Source organism: Homo sapiens, chromosome 12, assembly GCF_000001405.40.
Source record: "Homo sapiens chromosome 12, GRCh38.p14 Primary Assembly".
Classification (NCBI taxonomy): Eukaryota; Metazoa; Chordata; class Mammalia; order Primates; family Hominidae; genus Homo; species Homo sapiens.
This window is the reverse complement of record NC_000012.12, coordinates 104799656-104821902: the sequence shown is the minus strand read 5'-3', so window position 1 is coordinate 104821902 and position 22247 is coordinate 104799656. Positions and strand designations below refer to the sequence as shown.

The 22247-nt window shown below is 36.7% G+C and overlaps 1 protein-coding gene across 17 annotated transcripts in view; it reads left to right on the top strand.

Moving 5' to 3' along the window:
- Positions 1–20102, top strand: part of SLC41A2 (solute carrier family 41 member 2) — a 156946-nt gene extending 136844 nt beyond the window's left edge. For all 17 annotated transcript variants that reach the window (NM_001387125.1, NM_001352169.2, XM_047429648.1 and 14 more), the window contains one exon: positions 16566–20102. In NM_001387125.1, the coding sequence (NP_001374054.1) occupies positions 16566–16751 (186 nt within the window). In that variant the 3' untranslated portion in view covers positions 16752–20102. The remainder of the gene's footprint in view (positions 1–16565) is intronic.
- The last annotated feature ends 2145 nt before the right edge of the window (positions 20103–22247 follow it).

The following is a 22247-nucleotide window of genomic DNA, read 5'->3' as shown; positions in this document are numbered from 1 at the left end:
ACTGTTGAATAAAGAACAATGATATGTATAAGGTATAAAGAATAATAACATAGTGAATGCTAGTGCACTTAACCTGTCAGCTCAAAAATACAACACTACAATTGCCCTAGTACCTACAGGTTTAGAAGACACCTATGTGCCCCATTCTCTTCTCCAGAGGAAACTTTTCATCCTGATAGCTTTCATGGCTACGTTTTCCCTTGTTATTTTACTGTGTGTATTTGGACACCTAAATATTGTTTTATTTCAACATGTTTTTAAGTTTTAGAAAATTGAATCATACTGAATATATGCTTAAGCGACTTTTTTTGCTCAGCATTGTATTTGAGATTCATTCATATATGTAAGTATTATTCATCTACTATATTTAGCGGGACTACCATTCAGCTATTTTACTGTTACATAGTATTCTATTGTGTGAATATTCCACAATGTATTCAACCATTTTTCTTTTAATGGACTTTTTAGATTGTTTTTAGTTTTTTGCTATTAAAAATCAAGGTTATGAATGTTATCATGTAGGTCTCCTGGAACGTATTATAAGAGTTTATTTTGTAAAGAAGATCTTAACCATTTTATGTCATGGACTCCTTGGGAATTTTTTTTAATATTATGGGATTCTTCTCAAATTAAGGTTTTTAAATGCATGCAATAAAATACATAGGTTTATAAAGGAAACCAACTCTCTCTCTATATATGTAATGTAAAATACATATCTACATATTTTTAAAGCCCTGATTTTTAAATTATTAGATTCAACAGATATAAAATTACATTTCAAGAAATACAGCCAGAAGAAACATAGAGGAAAAGAAAAGAATCACAGAAACTGTACACATTGTTCACTGAAAGTTCTTGTATAACAATATAGAAGATTGTTATTATACTCACGACTTTTTGTCTTTTCGCATTAGAACTAAATAAAAAGTCAAGAGTGATATAGAAATTCCCTGCATTAGGCGGGGCACAGTGGCTCATGCCTGTAATCCCAGCACTTTGGGAGGCTGAGGTGAGTGGATCACCTGAGGTCAGGAGTTCAAGACCAGCCTGGCCAACATGATGAAACCCCGTCTCAACTAAAAATACGAAAAAATTAGCTGGGCATGGTGGCGGGCACCTGTAATCCTACCTACTTCGGAAGGCTGAGGCAGGAGAATCACTTGAACCCAGGAGGGGGAGGTTGCAGTGGGCCAAGATCGCACCATTGCACTCCAGCCTGGGCGACAAGAGCGAAACTCTGTCTGGAAAAAGAAAAAAATTCCCTACATTAAATAACTATGTGCATATTTTCATTAAATGTCAAGTACGTAAATATTTAAAACGTTAAATATGACAAATGACCTTGTTTCTTGTTAACTTATCTACTCTGCTGTAACACTATTGACAAGGATAATGTATACGTAAATTGTTTCTAGGTTTTGTTTTGTTTTGTTATTAAAAGAGATGGGTCTCACTGTGTTGCCCAGGCTGCAGTGCAGTAGCATGATTATAGCTCACTGTAACCTTGAACTCCTCGGCTTAAGGTGATCCTCTTGCCTCAGCCTCCTGAGTAGCTAGAACTACAGGTGTGCACCGCCATGCCTGGCTTTTTTATTTTTAAGTAGACACAGGGTCTCATCATGTTGCCAAGGCTGGTCTCAAACTACTGGTTTCAAGCAATTCTCTGGCCTTGGCCTCCCAAAGCACTAGGATTACAGGGATGACCCACCATGCCTGGCCTAGATTTGGTTTACTGATGCTCATACCAGTCTCATAGAGGTGTGTTGATAGGAATGGAGGAAGGTATTTGAAAGCATTATTAGACCTTGGCAGGGTGGGAGGACAGAAAGCCAGTGTGGAGGGAAGGGAGCTGACACTGGCTTTAGGTTTGCTGTAGCAGATTTGGTCCAGAGAGTCAGGATGCCTGATATTACTGAGACGTTAGGAAACTTAACACAACTACTACAGCATCACAGCTATTCCCAGACCTTGAGGCTGTTAACTGGCTGAAGAATGCAGAATCCAGTCAGCTCTTGTGAAAACTCATACCTACTAAAGACTCCACAGCATTGTATCCTTACAGGAGGAAAAGAAGGGTTGGGGAAAGGGGATTCTACTGAATTCATACTGCCAAAGTCTTACATGAGTGCAACATGGTGTAACCTAATCTCTAGCTGGAACCCTACTGGTAAGGGAGTCTGAGAATTATAGCTCTAGGTGTTTCTCTCTCTGTAAGAAAGACTGTAAAAGGAGTGAGAATGGATGCTGAGTGCCAATAGTCAATATCTAGCACAGTACTCATTCTTCATAGTTTATTTGTATCTTCTCTTTTTATCTTAAGATTATCTAACATTTATTAGTCTTATTTGCCTTTTCAGAGGATCAACTTTGACTTTGTCTTCACTATCATGTTTGTTTTCTATTAATGTTTGTACGTACCTTTAATATTTTTTCATTCTACCTTAGGTTTATTGTTCTTTTTCTAACTTCTAGATATAAATACATAGCTCATTTATTTTCAGTCTTTCTTTTCTAACGTAACCATTTAGGTGCTGCATTTCCAGCATTCTACAATTTTGATACATAAGATTTAATTATTGATTAGCTCTACATATTTAATAATTTGCATTATGATTTCCCTTTGACACATGATTTAATTTGAAGTATATTTTAAAATGTCCAAAAATATGGGGTTTTTTTGCTATCTGTTACTGATTTCTACCTGTACTGCAATTAGGGAGTGTGGCCTTTGTGACAGTAATCCTTTGGGATTTTATTGAGAATATTCTTATTGCCTAGTATGTGGACAGTTTTTATGAATATTACCTATGCGTTTGAAAAAAAAGTATATTTTCTAAATGTTGGCTACAGTATTCTGTATACATCCATTAGATCAAATTTGTTGATTGTATATTTGAAATGATCTGTGTTTTTTCAGATTTTATACAGTTGATTTATTAATTTCTCAGAGAAATGGGTTATAACATCTCCCACTAAGATGGTGACTTTCTCTTTAAATTTTATTTATTTATTTATTTATTTATTTTGAGATGGAGTCTTGCCCTGTCGCCCAGGCTGGAGTGCAATGGCACAATCTTGGCTTACTGCAACCTCTGCCCCCTGGGTTCAAACAATTCTCCTGCCTCAACCTCCCGAGTAGCTGGGATTACAGGTGCTTGCCACCACGCCCAGCTAATTTTTGTATTTTTAGTAGAGATGGGGTTTCACCATGTTGGCCAGGCAGGTCTTGAACTCCTGACCTCGTGATCTGCCCACCTCAGCCTCCCAAAGTGTTGGGCTTACAGGTATGAGCCACCGCACCCGGCTGTCCTGTTTTCTCTTTTCTTTCCTTCTGGATCTCCAAATAGATGTGCTTGAGAATTACTATCCTACATATTTATGCTATCCTCCATATTTATGGCATCTATTTTCATATTTCCCAACTCTTTATATCTTTGTGCTACTTTCCATTCCTCTAGATTCATCTTTCATTACTTATATATTCAAGTGTGTCTAATGTGCTATTAATCTCACCTATTTATTGAGTTAAATTTCAGAGGATGAAATTTTTATTTCTAAAAGTTCTAGTTGGTTTTCTAACTAATTTGTTCATTTCTTCTTTTTCTTTAAAAATATGATACTTATATTCTGTGCCAGATTTTTCCAGTGTCTAAAATCCTTCAGGTTCTGATTCTGCTTTCTATTATTTTTGCTATTAGTATCTTGTTTCATTTCATGTCTATGTCATATGACTATTTACACCGAGCTCTTGCTCTTTTTAAGCATTGATGCTTTTTATTTTTAAATTGACAAATAAGGATTGTATATATTTATAGTATACAACATGCTGTTTTGATATATGTATTCATTGTGGAGTGGCTAAATCAAGCTAATTAACATATCCATTCCTCACAAAATTATCATTTTTTTGTGATGAGAACATTTAAAATCTACTCTTTTAACAATTTTCAAGTGTAGTCATGTGCTGTGTATCAAGGTTTTGGTCAATAACAGACCACATATATGATTGCATCCTATGATTATAATGGAGCTGAAAAATTCCTGTCACCTAGTGATGTCGTGGCTGTACCGTCCTAGTGTGTTACTAGTTATGCTGTACCTAGTGTGTACGCTAGTTATCTAGTGTGTCCCAGTTACACTGGTATAAACAAACCTGCTGCATTGCCAATCATATAGAAGTCTAGCACATTTCATTATGTATAGTACATAATACTTGATAATGATAGTAAACAACTGTTACTGGTTTGTGTACTTACTACTATATTCAAAAAAGTTTAAAAGTAAAAACTCAAAAATAGAAAAAAAAAGAGGAGAGGCAAAGAAAAAATAAAAATAGGAAAAAGCCTATAGGATAACGATATAAAGAAGGAAAATATTTTTGTACAGCTGTACAATGATTTTGTGTTTTGTCATTACAAAAGTGTTTAAAAAGTAAAAAACAATTAAAAAATTTATAAAGTAAAGTTACTGTCAGCTAAGTTAAATGATTAGCAAAAAGATTTTTATATGTTTAGTGTAGCCTAAGTGTACAGTATTTTTAATGTCTACATTAGTGTATAGTAATGTCCCAGGCCTTCACATTCACTTACTACTCATTCACTGACTCACCCAAAGCAACTTCCAGTCCTGCAATCTTCATTCATGGTAAGTGCCCTACATGGTAAGTGTACCATTTTTTATCTTTTATACTGTATATTTACTGCAACTTTTCTGTGTTTAGGTATACAAATACTTCTGGTTCTGTTACAGTTGCCTACAGTATTCAGTACAGTCACATACATGCTATATAGTTTGTAGACTAGGAACAACAGGCTGTACCATATAGCCCAGGTGTGTGGTAGACCATACCATCTAGGTTTGTGTACATACACTCTCTGATGTTTGCACGGTGATGAAATTGCCTAACGATGCATTTCTCAGAATGTATCCCTGTTATTAAGCAAAGCATAATTGTATATGGGAAGATATGCATACGTTATATACAAATACTACACCATTTTATGTAAAGGACTTGAGTATCCTTGGATTTTGGTATCCTTGCGGGAGGGGGGTCCTGCAACCAATCCTCCCCTATGGATACCGAGGGACAACTGTCCTCAATTTGGGATTGTTAGACCACATAGGTAGTTGGATCCTGCGCAAATCCATGTAAGGGTCACATTGTGGTTGTAAATTTTTAGGGGAGACTTTTTTCCCACCATGTTAGTACCACAGTCAGATAAGTTTCTTTCCTGCTCCTTCTGTGGGGGCTGGTTTATTTCTTATTCAGAGGTGCAGCTTTTTATTTTATGTGAAAATCTTCTTTTATTAGACTCTCTACCTGAGACAGGCCTTGCTTTTGTCTCCTGTCTGCTGTGCCCTGTGCCACCATCAAAACCAGCAGAGGATGCCTCCATGTCCCCTGGAGAGGCAGAGGGCACAAGTGGCCCAGGGCAGCCGCCTGCTCAGGATCCTCAGAGTCTTACCCTGGCATGCTGTTTCCCTTTGTTTTGGGCCTCCAAGGATTCCTTTCCTTCGTGCCAGCTCAGTGATGCACTTTAAAAGATAGTTTTTGTATTTTATTGAACATTTTACATCGTTTTCTGTTGGTAGGTCATTTGGGGTATTTTGTTTATAATGCTGCTAAAAATGGAAGTTTCATCTTGGTCTTTTTTTGTGTTCTTGTTTTTTGGGTTGTGTTTCTATTTTTGTTTTTTCGTATCTACAAGTAGAAACACTTCGTTCTCCTTTCTGGCTGCCCCCAGTCAGTGCCCAGCAGGGGTAATGTGGTATGGGAGAAGCAGTGTGGGCTTTGGAATCAAACAGACCTGGGTTTGACTCTACCACTTGCTAGCTGTGTTACCGGGCAACCACTTCACCTTTCTGCATCTAAATTTTCTCTTCTGAAAATAGAGATAATAATACCCACCATAGTACCCAGGAGGAAAAAAGGTAGGTGATCAAACATTAGTTTTCTTTTCAGCGACACCATTTATTTCCCACCTTCCCCCACCTGCCACCCAACAAAATAGTTCAAGCCAAAGAAAAGATGCTTATATCTGAATATAAAAGAAGTAGACTGAATTCCTGTTGATTGATAATGCTAAATTATTCTTAGCAGACATTTAAATATTTATTAGATTTATATTAGATTTTAATGAGTAGGGTTTCCAGCCTGGAAACCTGGATTAGGGAAGCATATTTTTGTAGGGGACATGAATTCAACCTTTGTAAAGCTAGGGGTTAGGAAGAACTGTATTAATTTGCTACTTCTCGGGTTTATTTGTATCATATTTCTAAGCCTTCCTCTCCCAAAGAAATCATCTTTCTTCACACTATATACAAGGTGTTTATTGGCAGTTGAGGCATTAAGGGGATGCTAACACAAGGGAATGTTGATTCTAGCTCAAAGAAGGAGCTGGCTGAAGGAATCAATATCATCCAAAGCAAATATATATATTTTGTACTTTATATATTTATTTAAATTCCAAGAAATATATTTAGAACATGCATAATTAGCTGAGGTTACAAAGTTGCCTTTTCAAAAGGCATATTTACCTAGAGAGGTTATGCATATTTCATAAAGAACAAACAGATGATATAAAAACACAGTCTACCCTTGGTGTGTTCAGTGTGCTTTCCCAAGGAAAAGCCTGCATTCCTTAAATTATCATTCAGCTTTAAAACAAAAAATGTTGCATTTAAGAAGTGTCTGCTACTTATTGTCATTTTAATAATTTATTACACACAGAGTTCCAAGGAAACAGATATCTTTTGCTGACTTGCAAAAAACGAATAAATTTAAACCCGCTTGAACTATGTCATCACAATACCTTTAAAAATAAATTGCACGGGAAGAAAACTTTATTCATATTGTATAAGTAAATCCAATAAATGGAATGAGAATGTGCAAAGGCAGAGAGGGAATATCACAAAGGTGAATAGAGCAATTTCTGCATAGTTGACAATGAAATTTCTTAGCTCTATAATTTAGAGCTAGAACAGACTATGAAGACATAAATTTATTCGTTTTAAAGACTGAGGGATCAGAGAAGTGACAAATATAACTGGTTAGTGTTAGAAACCAGACTTCTATTCCAACAATCTTTTAAATAAAGTCCATAAATTCTGAGACAGTGTAATAATTGATGTATTAGTGATGATGGCACCAATATTTACTTAGTACTTACTATAAACCAAGCATTTGCTTAGCCCTTTACCTATATTATCTTGTTTAATTTTGGCAATCAGTCCATCAGGTAGGTAATGATAACCTCATTGTACAGATGAGGAAACTAAGACTTGGAGAGTTTTTTTTTTCACTTGTAGACAGTAACAGTTATTCAGTGATAGAGCTTCTTCAATAGCAAACATTTGTTTCATTTGTCATGTATAAGTATTTTGCTAGAAACCAAGGGATCAAACAGAAAGAAGACATGGTTTTCTTCTTTCGGGGATTGACACATTAGATCCCTACAACCTAACATGTAAGAAGTATCTGTAAGATGAGTAGTGTTTTTTTGTTTGTTTGTTTGTTGTGAGACACAATCTTGCTCTTTCACCCAGGCTGGAGTGCAGTGGTGAGATCTCAGCTCACTGCAAGCTCTGCCTCCTGGACTCAAGGGATCCTCCCACCTCAACCTGAGTAGTTGGGTCTACAGGGGGCTAATTTTTATAATTTTTGTAGAGACAGGGTCCCACTTTGTTGCCCAAGCTGGTCTCAAACTCCTGGGCTCAAGTGATCCACCTGCCTTGGCCTCCCAATGTGCTAGGATTACAGATGTGAGCCACCATGCCTGACTGAGTAGATTTCATATGTTTTGACCACAGCACTTGTAAGAAATATGTTTATTCTGAAACATATACATACATAAATATGTGTAAATTCATAGCTAAAAGTTTTACGAAATACCCTTACAGTGTGTTACACATGCTACTTTCTATTCTAGTCCATTCTATTCTATTTCAATTTTTTAACAGCCAGTTGTGACTGGGTGCGGAGGCTCAAGCCTGTAATCCCAGCACTTTGGGAGGCCAAGGTGGGCAGATCACCTGAGGTCAGGAGTTCGAGACCAGCCTGGCCAACATGGTGAAGCCCCATGTCTATGAAAAATACAAAAATTAGCCGGGTGTGGTGGTGCGCACCTGTAGTCCTAGCTACTCAGGAGGCTGAGGCAGGAGAATCACTTGAACCTGGGAAACAGAGGTTGCAGTGAGTTGAGATTATGCCACGGTACTCTAGCCTGGACAACAGAACGAGACTCTATCTCAAACAAAACAAAACAAAAAACCCATTTGTATTTATATGGATATATACATATATATTTAAATTCTGTGTGTGTGTTTGTGTAAAACTCTTTAACTACTAAATAGTCCTCCAGAGCTCCTTTAGCTATTTATTTTGTTATTTATCCCTATATTTTGTTTGGATTGCTAATTTTGCTTTATTAACTTGAGAAATTATCTATTGACTTCTAGTTGTCATAGACGAGGATTTTGCTACCTTGCCCTGTGCCTTATTTCCCCACCTTCCATCCTCCTAGTGTAGTAATGCTCAATCTTTTTTTAATAAATTGTTTTATTACTATGACTTATAAATGTCATTTCTCACAGAGCCATGTAGTGTATTCTATTTTCTTTCCCTTTATCTCTTTTTAATTTTCTTCTGGAGATCATTACCATATTTTTCCACTTGCATAGTTTTCTACATTTCTGAATTTTTTATTTTATTTTTTTTTCTTTTTTGAGACAGAGTCTTGCTCTGTCGCCCAGGCTGGAGTGCAGTGGCACAATCTCAGCTCACTGCCACCTCCACCTCTTGGGTTCAAGCGATTCTCCTGCCTCAGCCTCCCAAGTAGCTGGGATTACAGGCGTGCACCACCACATCTGGCTAATTTTTGTATTTTTAGTACAGATGGGGTTTCACCATGTTGGCCAGGCTGGTCTCAAACTCCTGACCTCAGGTGATCCACCTCCTTGGCCTCCCAAACAGCTGGGGATTACAGGCGTGAGCCACCATGCCTGGCCTGAATTTTTAAATTTCTTAATTTTTTTTTTTGCAAGTGCTCCATCAATAGCTATCACATACCTAAATTAGTGTTTTGCCCCTCAAAAGTTTATTATATCAGATAATTTGCCCACTTGCCTTTATCATGGAGACCTGGTATCCAGAGCATTCCACCTTCCTGGTCTGGCTTTGGTGCCCCGGGCCACTGCACAGCTGTCATCCTGGAACCTTCTCTCACTGCTCTGTTATGTTGCCTCTTCCATTTCCTGAATCCCATTTTTCTCTCGGTTCAAGCCCTCATTTTGCTTCAACACATTTTCTAGATAGTTCCAAAGAAAGAGAACATGGGAGAAATATTTTCTGAGTGCATGCATTACTTAAAAGGCCTTTCATTTACTCTCAACACTTGACTGATAAATTGGGCACAGATGTATAGATTGGAAATATTTCACTCTCAGGATTTTGAAGATGTTACTCCTTGTCTCCCAGTATTGCTGTTGAAAAAAATCAGATTCTTATTTCTTCATAAATAACCTGTTTTTAAAAATCATAGCAAATTTTTTAAGTTCTTCCAATGTGCCAAACACTGTTCTAACCATTCTGCATTATTTAACATTCACATCACATCTCTGTCTTGAACGGGGAGGAGACTGAGACATGGAGAGGTTAAGTAACATGGAAGTAGGGGTGGGCTGTTCACTGGATGCTTTACTATTAAAGGACATGGGGACTGACCATTTAACTGGGGGCCTCCAAATGTGAGCATCTGCTCTCCTCTCTGGAGGTCATCCTCCTGCCTGCCACTGTTCTCAGAACAAAATACAAGTCTAGAGGAATCCTCTGGTTAGGTATGCAGACTCTCAATTATCCCTGATTCTCAGCTAGTACCTCATAGTTTCTAGTGTCCTTGAGTCCTGCATCTCTACCACTCAGTTTCTCCAGAAAACATCCTTCTATTTTCCTACATGGAGAGGACAGTTTGCAGAAATGGTGAATGTGGAGCTAGCTCTACACACAGACATGTAAGTAATCTTTTGGCCTTAGCCTTGCTTTCAGCCTCAGCACCATCTAATACTTCCAAGTCCAAACCTTTCGTGGATTCTACAGGACATACTGACTTCTTTTCTCATGTGTCCCTCTCAGTAGATATTCTAAGTTGTAGCTCATGCGGCCCTGGTCAGTGAGTTACCATTAACACAATGGTTTACATTTTTTAAAATTATGAAATATAAACATACAGGAAGTAATAGGAAATAAGATAACAATGTATTTACCACTCAGCTTTATCAATGATCCGAAGCAAATATTTCAAAATAAATAAAAATGCATCATATATATGGTTGGTAACTCCTGTTTATCCCTTCTTGTGCTCATTTCATCCCTCCCTAACAGTTATCAGCATTCTAAATTGGCATCTATTCTTGCCATTATACTAAACTATTTATTATACTATTGCTACAAATGTATATATCTATAAACAACATAGTTTTATACTTATACACTTTATTAAAATGATATGCATAGTCTTGTGCTTTTGAGATATATTCATGTTGATTTATATAGTTCATTTTCATTTATTTTTGCTTCTATATAGTGTTCAATTGTGTGACTTAACAGTGAATTTAGCCATTCTGTGTCAATAGATACAATTTTTTGCTCTTACAACAGACGTGGTGAATATTCTTGCACATCTCTCAGTATGCTTGTATAAGAATTTCTCTGTATGGTTTCCATAAGTACACCAAGATACTGGTCTTCTCAGTCCTTAGGGTAGCAACAGGAAGACCTAGAGTCAGCAGAGCCCCTGAGCTAGTATCCTTTGGCCATGAACAATTTTATTTTTCCCCAGTGGCACAGGAAAAAAAAATCATTATTTCTATGTAGGATTGCTGAACTAAGGAGATACACATTTTCACATTTAATAGATATTACCAAATTGTTCTCCAAAGTAGTTGTACCAGTTTACGCTCTCATCAATGTAAAGTTCTATTTTTACTAAAACAAGGTACTGTAGTGATGGTTGAGAGCATGGGCTTTAGTGTTGGACTCTGTGAATTTGAGCCTGACTCCACCTGCAAGCTGTGTGATCGTGGGCAGGTTTCTTGGACTTTGCCTTAGCTTTTTTTATATGTCAGAGGATTAGTGGACCATATGCTCTCTGTGACAACTACATAGCCACTTAACCTCTCCGACTCAATTTCTCCAAATGAACATTAGGAATAGTAAACCTACCTACTTCCTGAGAATGTGGCAAGGAATAATCGGCTAAATAGGCAATAAGTAAACAATGGGTTGAGTTGCGTTCCAATAAAACGTTATTTACAAAAATAGGTGGCAGACTGAATTTGGCCCATGGGCTGTAGTTTGCCAACCTTACTCTAGAAAAATCATTCAGGGCAAATATTATACAATAAATTACTAAATGGTGTATGTATCATATAATATATAAATCTGTGTATATAAGTATGTATTTAACACATTGTTAATATGTAAACATGTAATATTATAATATGTAATATAAATTTATTCATTTATTTTTCTTGCTAATCCCAGAGAAATTAGCTACCCTCATTCTTTTAAAAGCTATTGTTTCCTCCTGTATACATTACTTATTCAATCAGCAAATTTACCTCCATACAGAAGGTAAATTTACCTCCATATACTTCAGTAATTTTGAGTTTACTGCATAACTTGTTCTATTTATAGATAGCCAAATTTTTTTTAAGTTCTGCTTTTGGTCTTTTCTTCCTTAACCTAACACTCTACTCTCTGAAGCAACATATTATATACCTAGCGTCTGCTGACATGATAATCTTTGTCTTAAGTTCACATCTCCTACCCTCCTTGCCCAGGACAAACAATTCTTATTCTCATAGGAATCTCCTATATGACACTGTCTCAAGCTGATTTGCATTCCGTCAATCAGATGTTGTCTACTTTTTAAGTTAGTCACTTTGCTAGGTACTGAAGACGCAGGTGTGAACCAGTTTCTCTGAAAATAGGGCATCCAAAACAGAGCCTAGATGTGGCCTGGCTCACTGGGGGGGTCCCATGGGATGACTCTCTTTCTCTCAGTCTGTGCACTATGCTTTTAGTGATAGAACTTGACATCATGCTGCCTTTTTGCCTTTCCTTTCATCCCCCAAACCAAGGCTCTTATTATTTCGAAGTAAGTTTGGCAGATATTAGGCCCCATATTTTCTTCAAATGAGAATACTAGGCTCAGAGTGGTAAGAAATTTACCCAAAGGCAGAACTGAAAATCAAATCCAGATTTTACAACTTCCCACTCCAGGATTCTTTCTAATATTTCATGCTTCCTCCATACCCAAAACACATTGTCCTAGCAAAACTTTATATGATTCCAAAACAGTCTCTACCAGTGAAACACTAATGAAGAATTGACCACATGGAAAAGACAATAGGGCTTAAAGTACAACCTCTCTCTGACAGATGTCCAAAGGCATGTAAAATTCATGCCTTTGGAATAGGTACATGTCTTCCTACGTTTGGACAAGCCACTCTCCTTCCTGGTAAAGGTGTTAGAGCTAAAATGATAGCACACAGCAGTTTGGGTCCCAAGGCAAATGCCTCACACCCACGGCCTACTTGCCAGGTTAGTGAAAGGTCTCTTGGCCTAGACCGTGGACCTGGGGTGGGCTTCCTCCTGCACATACCAGGGGCCACAAATAGTAATAAGAATAATCCTGTTAAAATAGACTAATAACAGACATTTATTGAAAGTTTATTGTGTGCCAGGCACTGAATTATTTAGTATATTATTTAATCCTCAGAACATTCTTACAAGGTAAGTACCATTTTAATGTTCATTTGGATATATAGAGTCAGAAAGGTTGAGTAACTTGCCTTCAGTCAGCTAGTAGACAATAGAGAAGGGCTGTAAAGAAGTGCTTTTAACCACTGTGCTATACTTGCCAACTTGTCCAAAACCATGAACATTATCCTTTCTAGTCCCAAATTTATTTTGCTGCTTCAGGGGTTTGAAAATTTAAAAATCCCACAGAAATATGAACTACCATCAGAGAATACTATAAACACCTCTACGCAAATAAACTAGAAAATCTAGAAGAAATGGATAAATTCCTTGACACATACACCCTCCCAGGACTAAACCAGGAAGAAGTTGAATCTCTGAATAGACCAATAACAGGCTCTGAAATTGAGGCAATAATCAATAGCTTACCAACCAAAAAAAGTCCAGGACCAGATGGATTCACAGCCGAATTCCACCAGAGGTACAAGGAGGAGCTGGTACCATTCCTTCTGAAACTATTCCAATCAATAGAAAAAGAGGGAATCCTCCCTAACTCATTTTATGAGGCCAGCATCATCCTGATACCAAAGCTGGGCAGAGACACAACAAAAAAAGAGAATTTTAGACCAATATCCCTAATGAACATCGATGCAAAAATCCTCAGTAAAATACTGGCAAACCGAATCCAGCAGCACATCAAAAAGCTTATCCACCATGATCAAGTGGGCTTCATCCCTGGGATGCAAGGCTGGTTCAACATACACAAATCAATAAACATAATCCAGCATATAAACAGAACCAACGACAAAAACCACATGATTATCTCAATAGATGCAGAAAAGGCCTTTGACAAAATTCAACAATGCTTCCTGCTAAAAACTCTCAATAAATTAGGTATTGATGGGACATATCTCAAAATAATAAGAGCTATCTATGACAAACCCACAGCCAATATCATACTGAATGGGCAAAAACTGGAAGCATTCCCTTTGAAAACTGGCACAAGACAGGGATGTCCTCTCTCACCACTCCTATTCAACATAGTGTTGGAAGTTCTGGCCAGGGCAATCAGGCAGGAGAAGGAAATAAAGGGTATTTAATTAAGGAAAAGAGGAAGTCAAATTGTCCCTGTTTGCAGATGACATGATTGTATATCTAGAAAACCCCATCGTCTCAGCCCAAAATCTCCTTAAGCTGATAAGCAACTTCAGAAAAGTCTCAGGATACAAAATCAATGTGCAAAAATCACAAGCATTCTTATACACCAATAACAGACAAACAGAGAGCCAAATCATGAGTGAACTCCCATTCACAATTGCTTCAAAGAGAATAAAATACCTAGGAATCCAACTTATAAGGGACGTGAAGGACCTCTTCAAGGAGAACTACAAGCCACTGCTCAATGAAATAAAAGAGGATACAAACAAATAGAAGAACATTCCATGCTCATGGGCAGGAAGAATCAATATCATGAAAATGGCCATACTGCCCAAGGTAATTTATAGATTCAGTGCCATCCCCATCAAGCTACCAATGACTTTCTTCACAGAATTGGAAAAAACTACTTTAAAGTTCATATGGAACCAAAAAAGAGCCAGCATTGCCAAGTCAATCCTAAACCAAAAGAACAAAGCTGGAGGCATCACACTACCTGACTTCAAACTATACTACAAGGCTACAGTAACCAAAACAGCATGGTACTGTACCAAAACAGAGATATAGACCAATGGAACAGAACAGAGCCCTCAGAAATAATGCCACATATCTACAACTATCTGATCTTTGACAAACCTGACAAAAACAAGAAATGGGGAAAGGATTCCCTATTTAATAAATGGTGCTGGGAAAACTGGCTAGCCATATGTAGAAGGCTGAAACTGGATCCCTTCCTTACACCTTATACAAAAATTAATTCGAGATGGATTAAAGACTTAAATGTTAGACCTAAAACCATAAAAACCCTAGAAGAAAACCTAGGCAATACCATTCAGGACATTGGCATGGGCAAGGACTTCACGTCTAAAACACCAAAAGCAATGGCAACAAAAGCCAAAATTGACAAATGGGATCTAATTAAACTAAAGAGCTTCTGCACAGCAAAAGAAACTACCATCAGAGTGAACAAGCAACCTACAGAATGGGAGAAAATTTTTGCAATCTACTCATCTGACAAAGGGCTAATAACCAGAATTTACAATGAACTCAAACAAGTTTACAAGAAAAAAACAAACAACCCCATCAACAAGTGGGCAAAGGATATGAACAGACACTTCTCAAAAGAAGACATTTATGCAGCCAAAAGACACATGAAAAAATGCTCATCATCACTGGCCATCAGAGAAATGCAATTCAAAACCACAATGAGATAACATCTCACACCAGTTAGAATGGCAATCATTAAAAAGTCAGGAAACAACAGGTCCTGGAGAGGATGTGGAGAAATAGGAACACTTTTACACTGTTGGTGGGACTGTAAACTAGTTCAACCATTGTGGAAGTCAGTGTGGCGATTCCTCAGGGATCTAGAACTAGAAATACCATTTGACCCAGCCATCCCATTACTGGGTATATACCCAAAGGATTATAAATCATGCTGCTGTAAAGACACATGCACATGTATGTTTATTGCAGCACTAGTCACAATAACAAAGACTTGGAACCAACCCAAATGTCCAACAATGATAGACTGGATTAAGAAAATGTGGCACATATACACCATGGAATACTATGCAGCCATAAAAAAGGATGAGTTCATGTCCTTTGTAGGGACATGGATGAAGCTGGAAACCATCATTCTCAGCAAACTATCGCAAGGACAAAAAACCAAACGCTGCATGTTCTCACTCATAGGTGGGAATTGAACAATGAGAACACATGGACACGGGAAGGGGAACATCACACACCGGGGCCTGTTGTGGGGTGGGGGGAGTGGGGAGGGATAGCATTAGGAGATAAACCTAATGCTAAATGACAAGTTAATGGGTGCAGCACACCAACATGGCACATGTATACATACGTAACAAACCTGCACGTTGTGCACATGTACCCTAAAACTTAAAGTATAGTAAAAAATAAAGTAAAAATAAATAAATAAAGAAAATCCCCCTACTCTAGGTGGATCAAAGAAAAAAACATTTATCTGGTCCCAAAATTCAAAGCTTCACAAAAGTCTTTATATTCCTGATATTCTAGAAAATATTTATATACAGCATCTTCATGTTTGAATAATCTTTTAAAATATTTCCATTTTATGTATATATCTATCTATAACTACATAGATGAGCCATTTCTAAATGCATTTACCTTCTAGTTATTGGTCTTACTACTGCACTGAAATTTTCCTTGACAAGTCAAAAATGGCCTTATAATTAGTAAACGAATGGTCAGTTTTCCATCTTTATTTGATATACCTGCAGCAGGAGACTGTTAAATAATTCCTTATTTAAATTTTTATTTCCTTCTTCATAATGTCTTCCTTTTTCACAGGTTTATCACATAGAAAAACAGTCTTTTGGAAACTGTACAGTGCTATTAAAATATCCAAATTATTATGGCTATTGGGAGGCTAGAATGAGATCTATATGAAAAGTTGAAGAAAAATTTTAGTACCTGTAAACATACATGCTGTTTTTTTTCTTGTGAAATGAAAGTATTCTTGTCATCTAAGTATTTCTTATTTTCAAGCATGGTTCTTGACTTAGACACATACGGTCCCTTCCAGAAGCCAGTGGTTTAGGCTTGTGGCCATGTTTCATGGGCTAGGAATGTCCAGGCAGCCGGAGTAATCTCTGTTGTTCTCTTCTAGGTATTTACCTTGCTGTGGATTGCTGACTGGATGGTCCATCACTTCTGGAGGAAAGGAAAGGACCCGGATAGTTTCTCCATCCCCTACCTAACAGCATTGGGTGATCTGCTCGGGACAGCTCTGTTAGCCTTAAGTTTTCATTTTCTTTGGCTTATTGGAGATCGAGATGGAGATGTTGGAGACTAATAAATTCTACAAACTGCTCTCAAGTTACCAAGGAAGAAAATACACGACAACCACTTATGGCTCTTTTTCAAAACTCTTAAATCAGTAGTTTGACTTTTGCCAGGGTAATCTTCAGTTGGCCCTGATTCAATTAAATGGCCTTAATTTTTTTTTAAGGAATTTGTGTCAAAACCAGAATGAAGAGTATTCGTGCTGCTTTTCATAGAATAAATGATAATTTGACATAGACATAGATATAAGTTCCAGCTCTGAAATTAATTAGGAAAGAATATAGGATGTTTACAGTGAATAATTTTAAAACCACAAACATAGCAGAAATGTACTTTATTATTAAATTTGTAATGCAGGATTAGAAGAAGCAGAGCTCTAGTTTAGCCTTTCTTGTCTCACAGATGTGCTGTATCCCAGGCATACTATAAAACGAAGAGTGCCCAACCAAGCTTTGAATCGTATTAACAATGCCCACCTCTATGCTAGCTGAGGATAAATTTACCAGTTGCTCATATTTAAACTGACCTAAATATGTTTTGCTGAGCATAAGATAAACTCACTTTTACCTCCATCTAAAATTATCCTGTTCTGATGCCAATTCAATTTCAGCTCTGCAAGTTCTTGTCAGGCTAATCTTTAAACATTGAGTGATCTTGAGAGATTGTTAATGAAAGCAGTGAGTCATTTTTTGATGATTGATTTGTTGGAAAAATGTTGATGTGTTTTAAAAAATGTAATCTTCAAAAACAGAATATAACCTGAGATGCATTTGTAGAGACAAGACGGTACGAGAATGTGTGTGTGTGTGTGTGTGAGAGAGAGAGACTTTTGATGAAGAACTAAATCTTGGATTGCTGATAGCAAAGATCATAGTGCTGTTGGAATATCAGCAATATAGAGTTATTCTTAAACACATTCTATTAACATGTTTTTGTCATTGGGTCCAAAAATTTTGCTGCTGACCAGAATTTACTATTTGTTACCTATATTCTTTTTTTTTTTTTTTTTTTTTTTTTTTGAGACAGAGTCTTGCTCTGTCGCCCAGGCTGGAATGCAGTGGTGTGATCTCGGCTCACTGCTACCTCCACCTCCTGGATTCAAGTGATTCTCCTGCCTCAGCCTCCCGAGTAGCTGGGATTACAGGAATGCGCCACAACGCCCAGCTAATTTGTTACCTACACTCTAATTAATAATTAATAATTTCTTATTTTAAAAAGTAGTACTATTTAATATAATCAAGATAGGAGATTTAAAATGAGCAAGTGATTCATTTGCTCTTTTAAAGAAGCCCGTTGACTTACGCTTTTAAAAAAGAAGTTGGTGGGTTACCTCAATTATTGTTCATGCTTAAACATATCCATTTGTACAGGCTTATTTCTACGTGGGACCCAATCATATATACTATATTTCTCAAATAATTTTTCTAAAACTCTGGCCTATATTCTAAACACTTGACCAACACCTTAGTTATTGAATAGGTAACCATTTTTAAAGTACATGTGGTTCATTTTTTAAAATTCAATCTCTCAAGACCGTTAGATATTTAATAATTTAAGCTGATAAGGGTATCAAAATGCACATTAACTTTGATCATCATGATTTAAGTTGTAACTTTGTGTTATTATATAAATATTAGGTTGTTTATAAATATATTGCAGAAAGTATTCTTGTTAAGCTCTTTTAAATGAGGGGACTGTGGTTTAGAGTTATATATTTTTGCTTATTTTTAAACTTCAATTATTCCATTCTTCTGCCTTATAATAAAACTTTTAAGGCAGAGAACTGAACTAATTATAGAATTTCTCCTTTGGAGAGTTATAATGTTACATAGTGAACATTCTTATAAAAGAAAGAATAAGTTTAAGTTGATGAATATTTAGCTGCAAAGATTTTTTACTTAAAAAAATCCATGAATATCTTTGATTTTATTATAAAGCATTTGTAAATTATTTGCATTTGAGCTGTAAGATTCATAAACATTTACATTTCCCAATGATTTCTATTTTGATTTTTAAAAAATATACAGGGCAAGCTACATTTTTAAAGCATTAATCAACAACTTTATTATATTACACATTCCAGTGCACAAACACACAATATCATTTAATACTCACAGTAGTACCTGTGAAATATATCAGATGGATATTCCTATCTCTATTTTACAGCAGAGGAAACCGAAATTCAGAGAACTTACATTTCTAAGGTTGTACAGCTGCAAAATGACCAAATTGTGAAGTCCCTAACATCCAGGTTTTCATAATGCCAGTACTCTTTCTATGACATGTTTATGACCCTCCAAATGTACCAAAACTACCTAACTAATTCACTGAGAGGAAGCCAACTGCAAAAATAGGATTTTTAAAAGTACAATAGAGTATTACTACATTTTATGGATTTCAGACAAAGAAACCTCCGTTTATTATATCCTGATGGTGAGTATTGCCAGCTCTAAATTATTCATATTTCTAAGACCAAGGAAAATATAGGTAAATGAAAATTTTGAAATAAAGAACAATGCCTTAATTTGTAAAATCTATCATTGCTACCACCCTGCCCAGGTCTGGCCATTTGCCATAAATGCTGGTAAATAAATACAATGACTGATAGAGTTCTGTCTCCTTTCTCTTTTGCTACCCAACCTTGGTTAGAGCAACCAAATGTCTAAAAGGCATGTAACAGGAGAAAAAAATAAAAACATTAGTCACCAATTCGCCGATTATAAAAGGGATGTAGATTCCTTTAAATTATTACTGACCTTTTGAAAGCCTTCACGTAAGTATGCAACAGATAAAATGACTCATTTACCCACAACAATAATCTATTATCAGTCTTAAGTAATGTGAATTCACTGTATTTCTTTTTATACAACATAAAAACTTCTGCTTTCCAAACTTCTTCCTTTTCACTAATTTATCAGCCACTTTATTTATACACAGATAACACTTTTAGAAACATTTTTCTTTCTTGTCCATTTTTTTCTTTCAAAAATAAAGTTTCTTAGAACCTGATAAAATGGAAACTTATGGTAATATGTGTTCTGGTAGGTGTCCAAAAATTCCACACCATAGACTATCAATGATATAGCCAAATAAAGGCCATTCAAAAAAATCAGTAATTGGGATTCCTTGCCTTATATCTATGGTATAGTGTACCCATTTATAACGGGGTTCTGCCATCTTCGAATTGTTTTAAACTCAAATAAAGAATAAAATTTAAGAAATAATTATCCAGTCTTGTTATGCTTACTTCTTGATGAACTAGAGAACATCAAGCCAGTGTGGAAATCTCCCAGAAGAGACTGGGGTAATTTATGTATACATATGATATTTATGAATTATAATAAATTGGGCTTTGACCATATCTAGACCTCCAATGCATTGCTTTACTACTTTTTGACTGTCAAATACTCTCCTCATTTCTTCACTCCTCTCATTATCCAGCTTACATTGCTTGGTTCATCAGTCCATACATCTGCAACTGCCTCTCTCATGCTGGCAGGACAGAATACAAACTCTGGATAAAGACAGCTCTCTGTGTTTTGCCTGTACCTGAGTGCTCAATATGGCTCATGAAAAACACACAACTCCTCTGACAGATCTTTAAATTTATAACCTCAGACATCAAGTTAACCCCCAACTGCCCAGCAACCTACTCTGTTTCTCTAATGACTTTACTTTCTGAGAGACAGGTCTTTGTCCCCAGCACTTTACTGAAAGCAAACTTGTTGTCAACCTAAATAGTAAACAGAGAGAAGGTTTCTAAAAGAAAATGATATTCAGGAATAGGCATTGCAATGGGAATACACGTGCCACAGTGTTCCCACTGCATATGAACTACCTGCATATTCAGGGAGGTAAAGGAAGGAGGAGGTTTTTAAAGAAGGATTACAAATTATTTTGAGATAATTATCCTTGGCTACAAGGATCGACAGCAAGCATAACGCCAGTCTGAGGTTGAACAGGTGTTTGCTGGGCGGATATTCTCACAGAAGTATTTTTTGTGTGTAAGGTTGCAATGGCCATTGTACAAGGTTGTGGTTTTTGCAGAGTCTTTTGTGATGGTTTTTGTTACTGGGCATTTATGCATGAGAAACCTTTCTTCATGGCCTTCTCTGGCTCTATTTGTCAGAGTTTTATTAACACAAGTGACTCCATTATGTTTCTGACAAGTTTCACATTTCCCCCTTTTGATCAAGATATTTCTCCAAAAGCATCACTGACCAATCATCCTGTATTCAGGTGTTGATAGCTCCTGATGCCAGGATGGGCCCGTCCTGGGTTGCTGATCTGGTCCTATGTTAGAGAAAGTGAATGGTGGCTAGGAGTCCGTGTCAAAACCCTATTATCCACGTTTGAGCAACAAGGGAGGTTTGAAGGGAGTGGATCTCAGGCTAAGTCTACCTGGAGTCCATTATTAAGTTCAATTTTTTCTGTTCCATAGTCGTTTGCTGTTATCTCAAAGTGCTGGGCCAGCATTGTTCTGTTAGGAGTTCTACTTCTGCAAAAATTTAACAAGTAATAGTGCAAACTTTAAAAAGGAAATAATAGTAATTTGAAAATCCCTGTTTGCATAATGGTTTTGAGCTGTGAATCTAGGCTTAAAGACAACTATTTGAATGAAACAAATGACCATAGGGAATTAGGTAAGACCTGTTGTAACCATGTGGCTATGTTTTTATTTTGCTTATATGGGTTTCAACTTTCCCAGAGGGATTTATCCGGGTACAGCATGCAATATTTGCAATAGCACAGAAATTTTCTTATTTAGCCAGTAAATAATATAGAGCTATTTATCATCTAGTATCCCATGACTGGGTTGAATTAAAGCAAAAGGTGAGCACCAATTGTATTAAGGATGTTGCCAAAGTCACCCAATAAGTGGGCTAAGGAATCTTTTAGATTAGTTTCTGTCTAGTTACTGGCAGAAGCTACTGATTAAGAAATTTACACCATTATCCAGCCAAGTGAAAAAGGTAGCAGTAAGGGAGGTCAGGGTCTTGTTATGATATAGAGTCTTGTGCCAATATCTTGGGAAAAGCTGTCTACAGCATGAAAATGTCAATTTCTTATCCTGTTTGCAGTTTGAATGTCTCTGGTTATGGCATTAGGCAGTTTGGTGAACTCTTTGTGTGGCTCATACATCAGGCACAAGACTTGTTCCTTAAAATTTATCATTTCAGCTTATAGAGATTTAGGAACAGAGCAGTTCCTGTTTTTAGTAATTCCATGGAAGAAAGTTGGATTAAAGGAATATAAAAGAATTCAGGATCTAGTCTACTCTATAGGTAAATAAGAACCTGAAAACAATGCACAGAGCTATAATCTAATAGCAGATGTATTATAGCTTTTTCTTTATAAATATAACTATTTCTGCCTATGTTGATCACACAGGAATCTCAGATTTAAAAACCTCTTGAGGCTAGGAAACCAAACTAAGGAAGACTTTAGATGTTACCTACAGTCCTAAGGCTCCTGAGCCTGCCAGGAAGTGAGTTTTTATTCACCG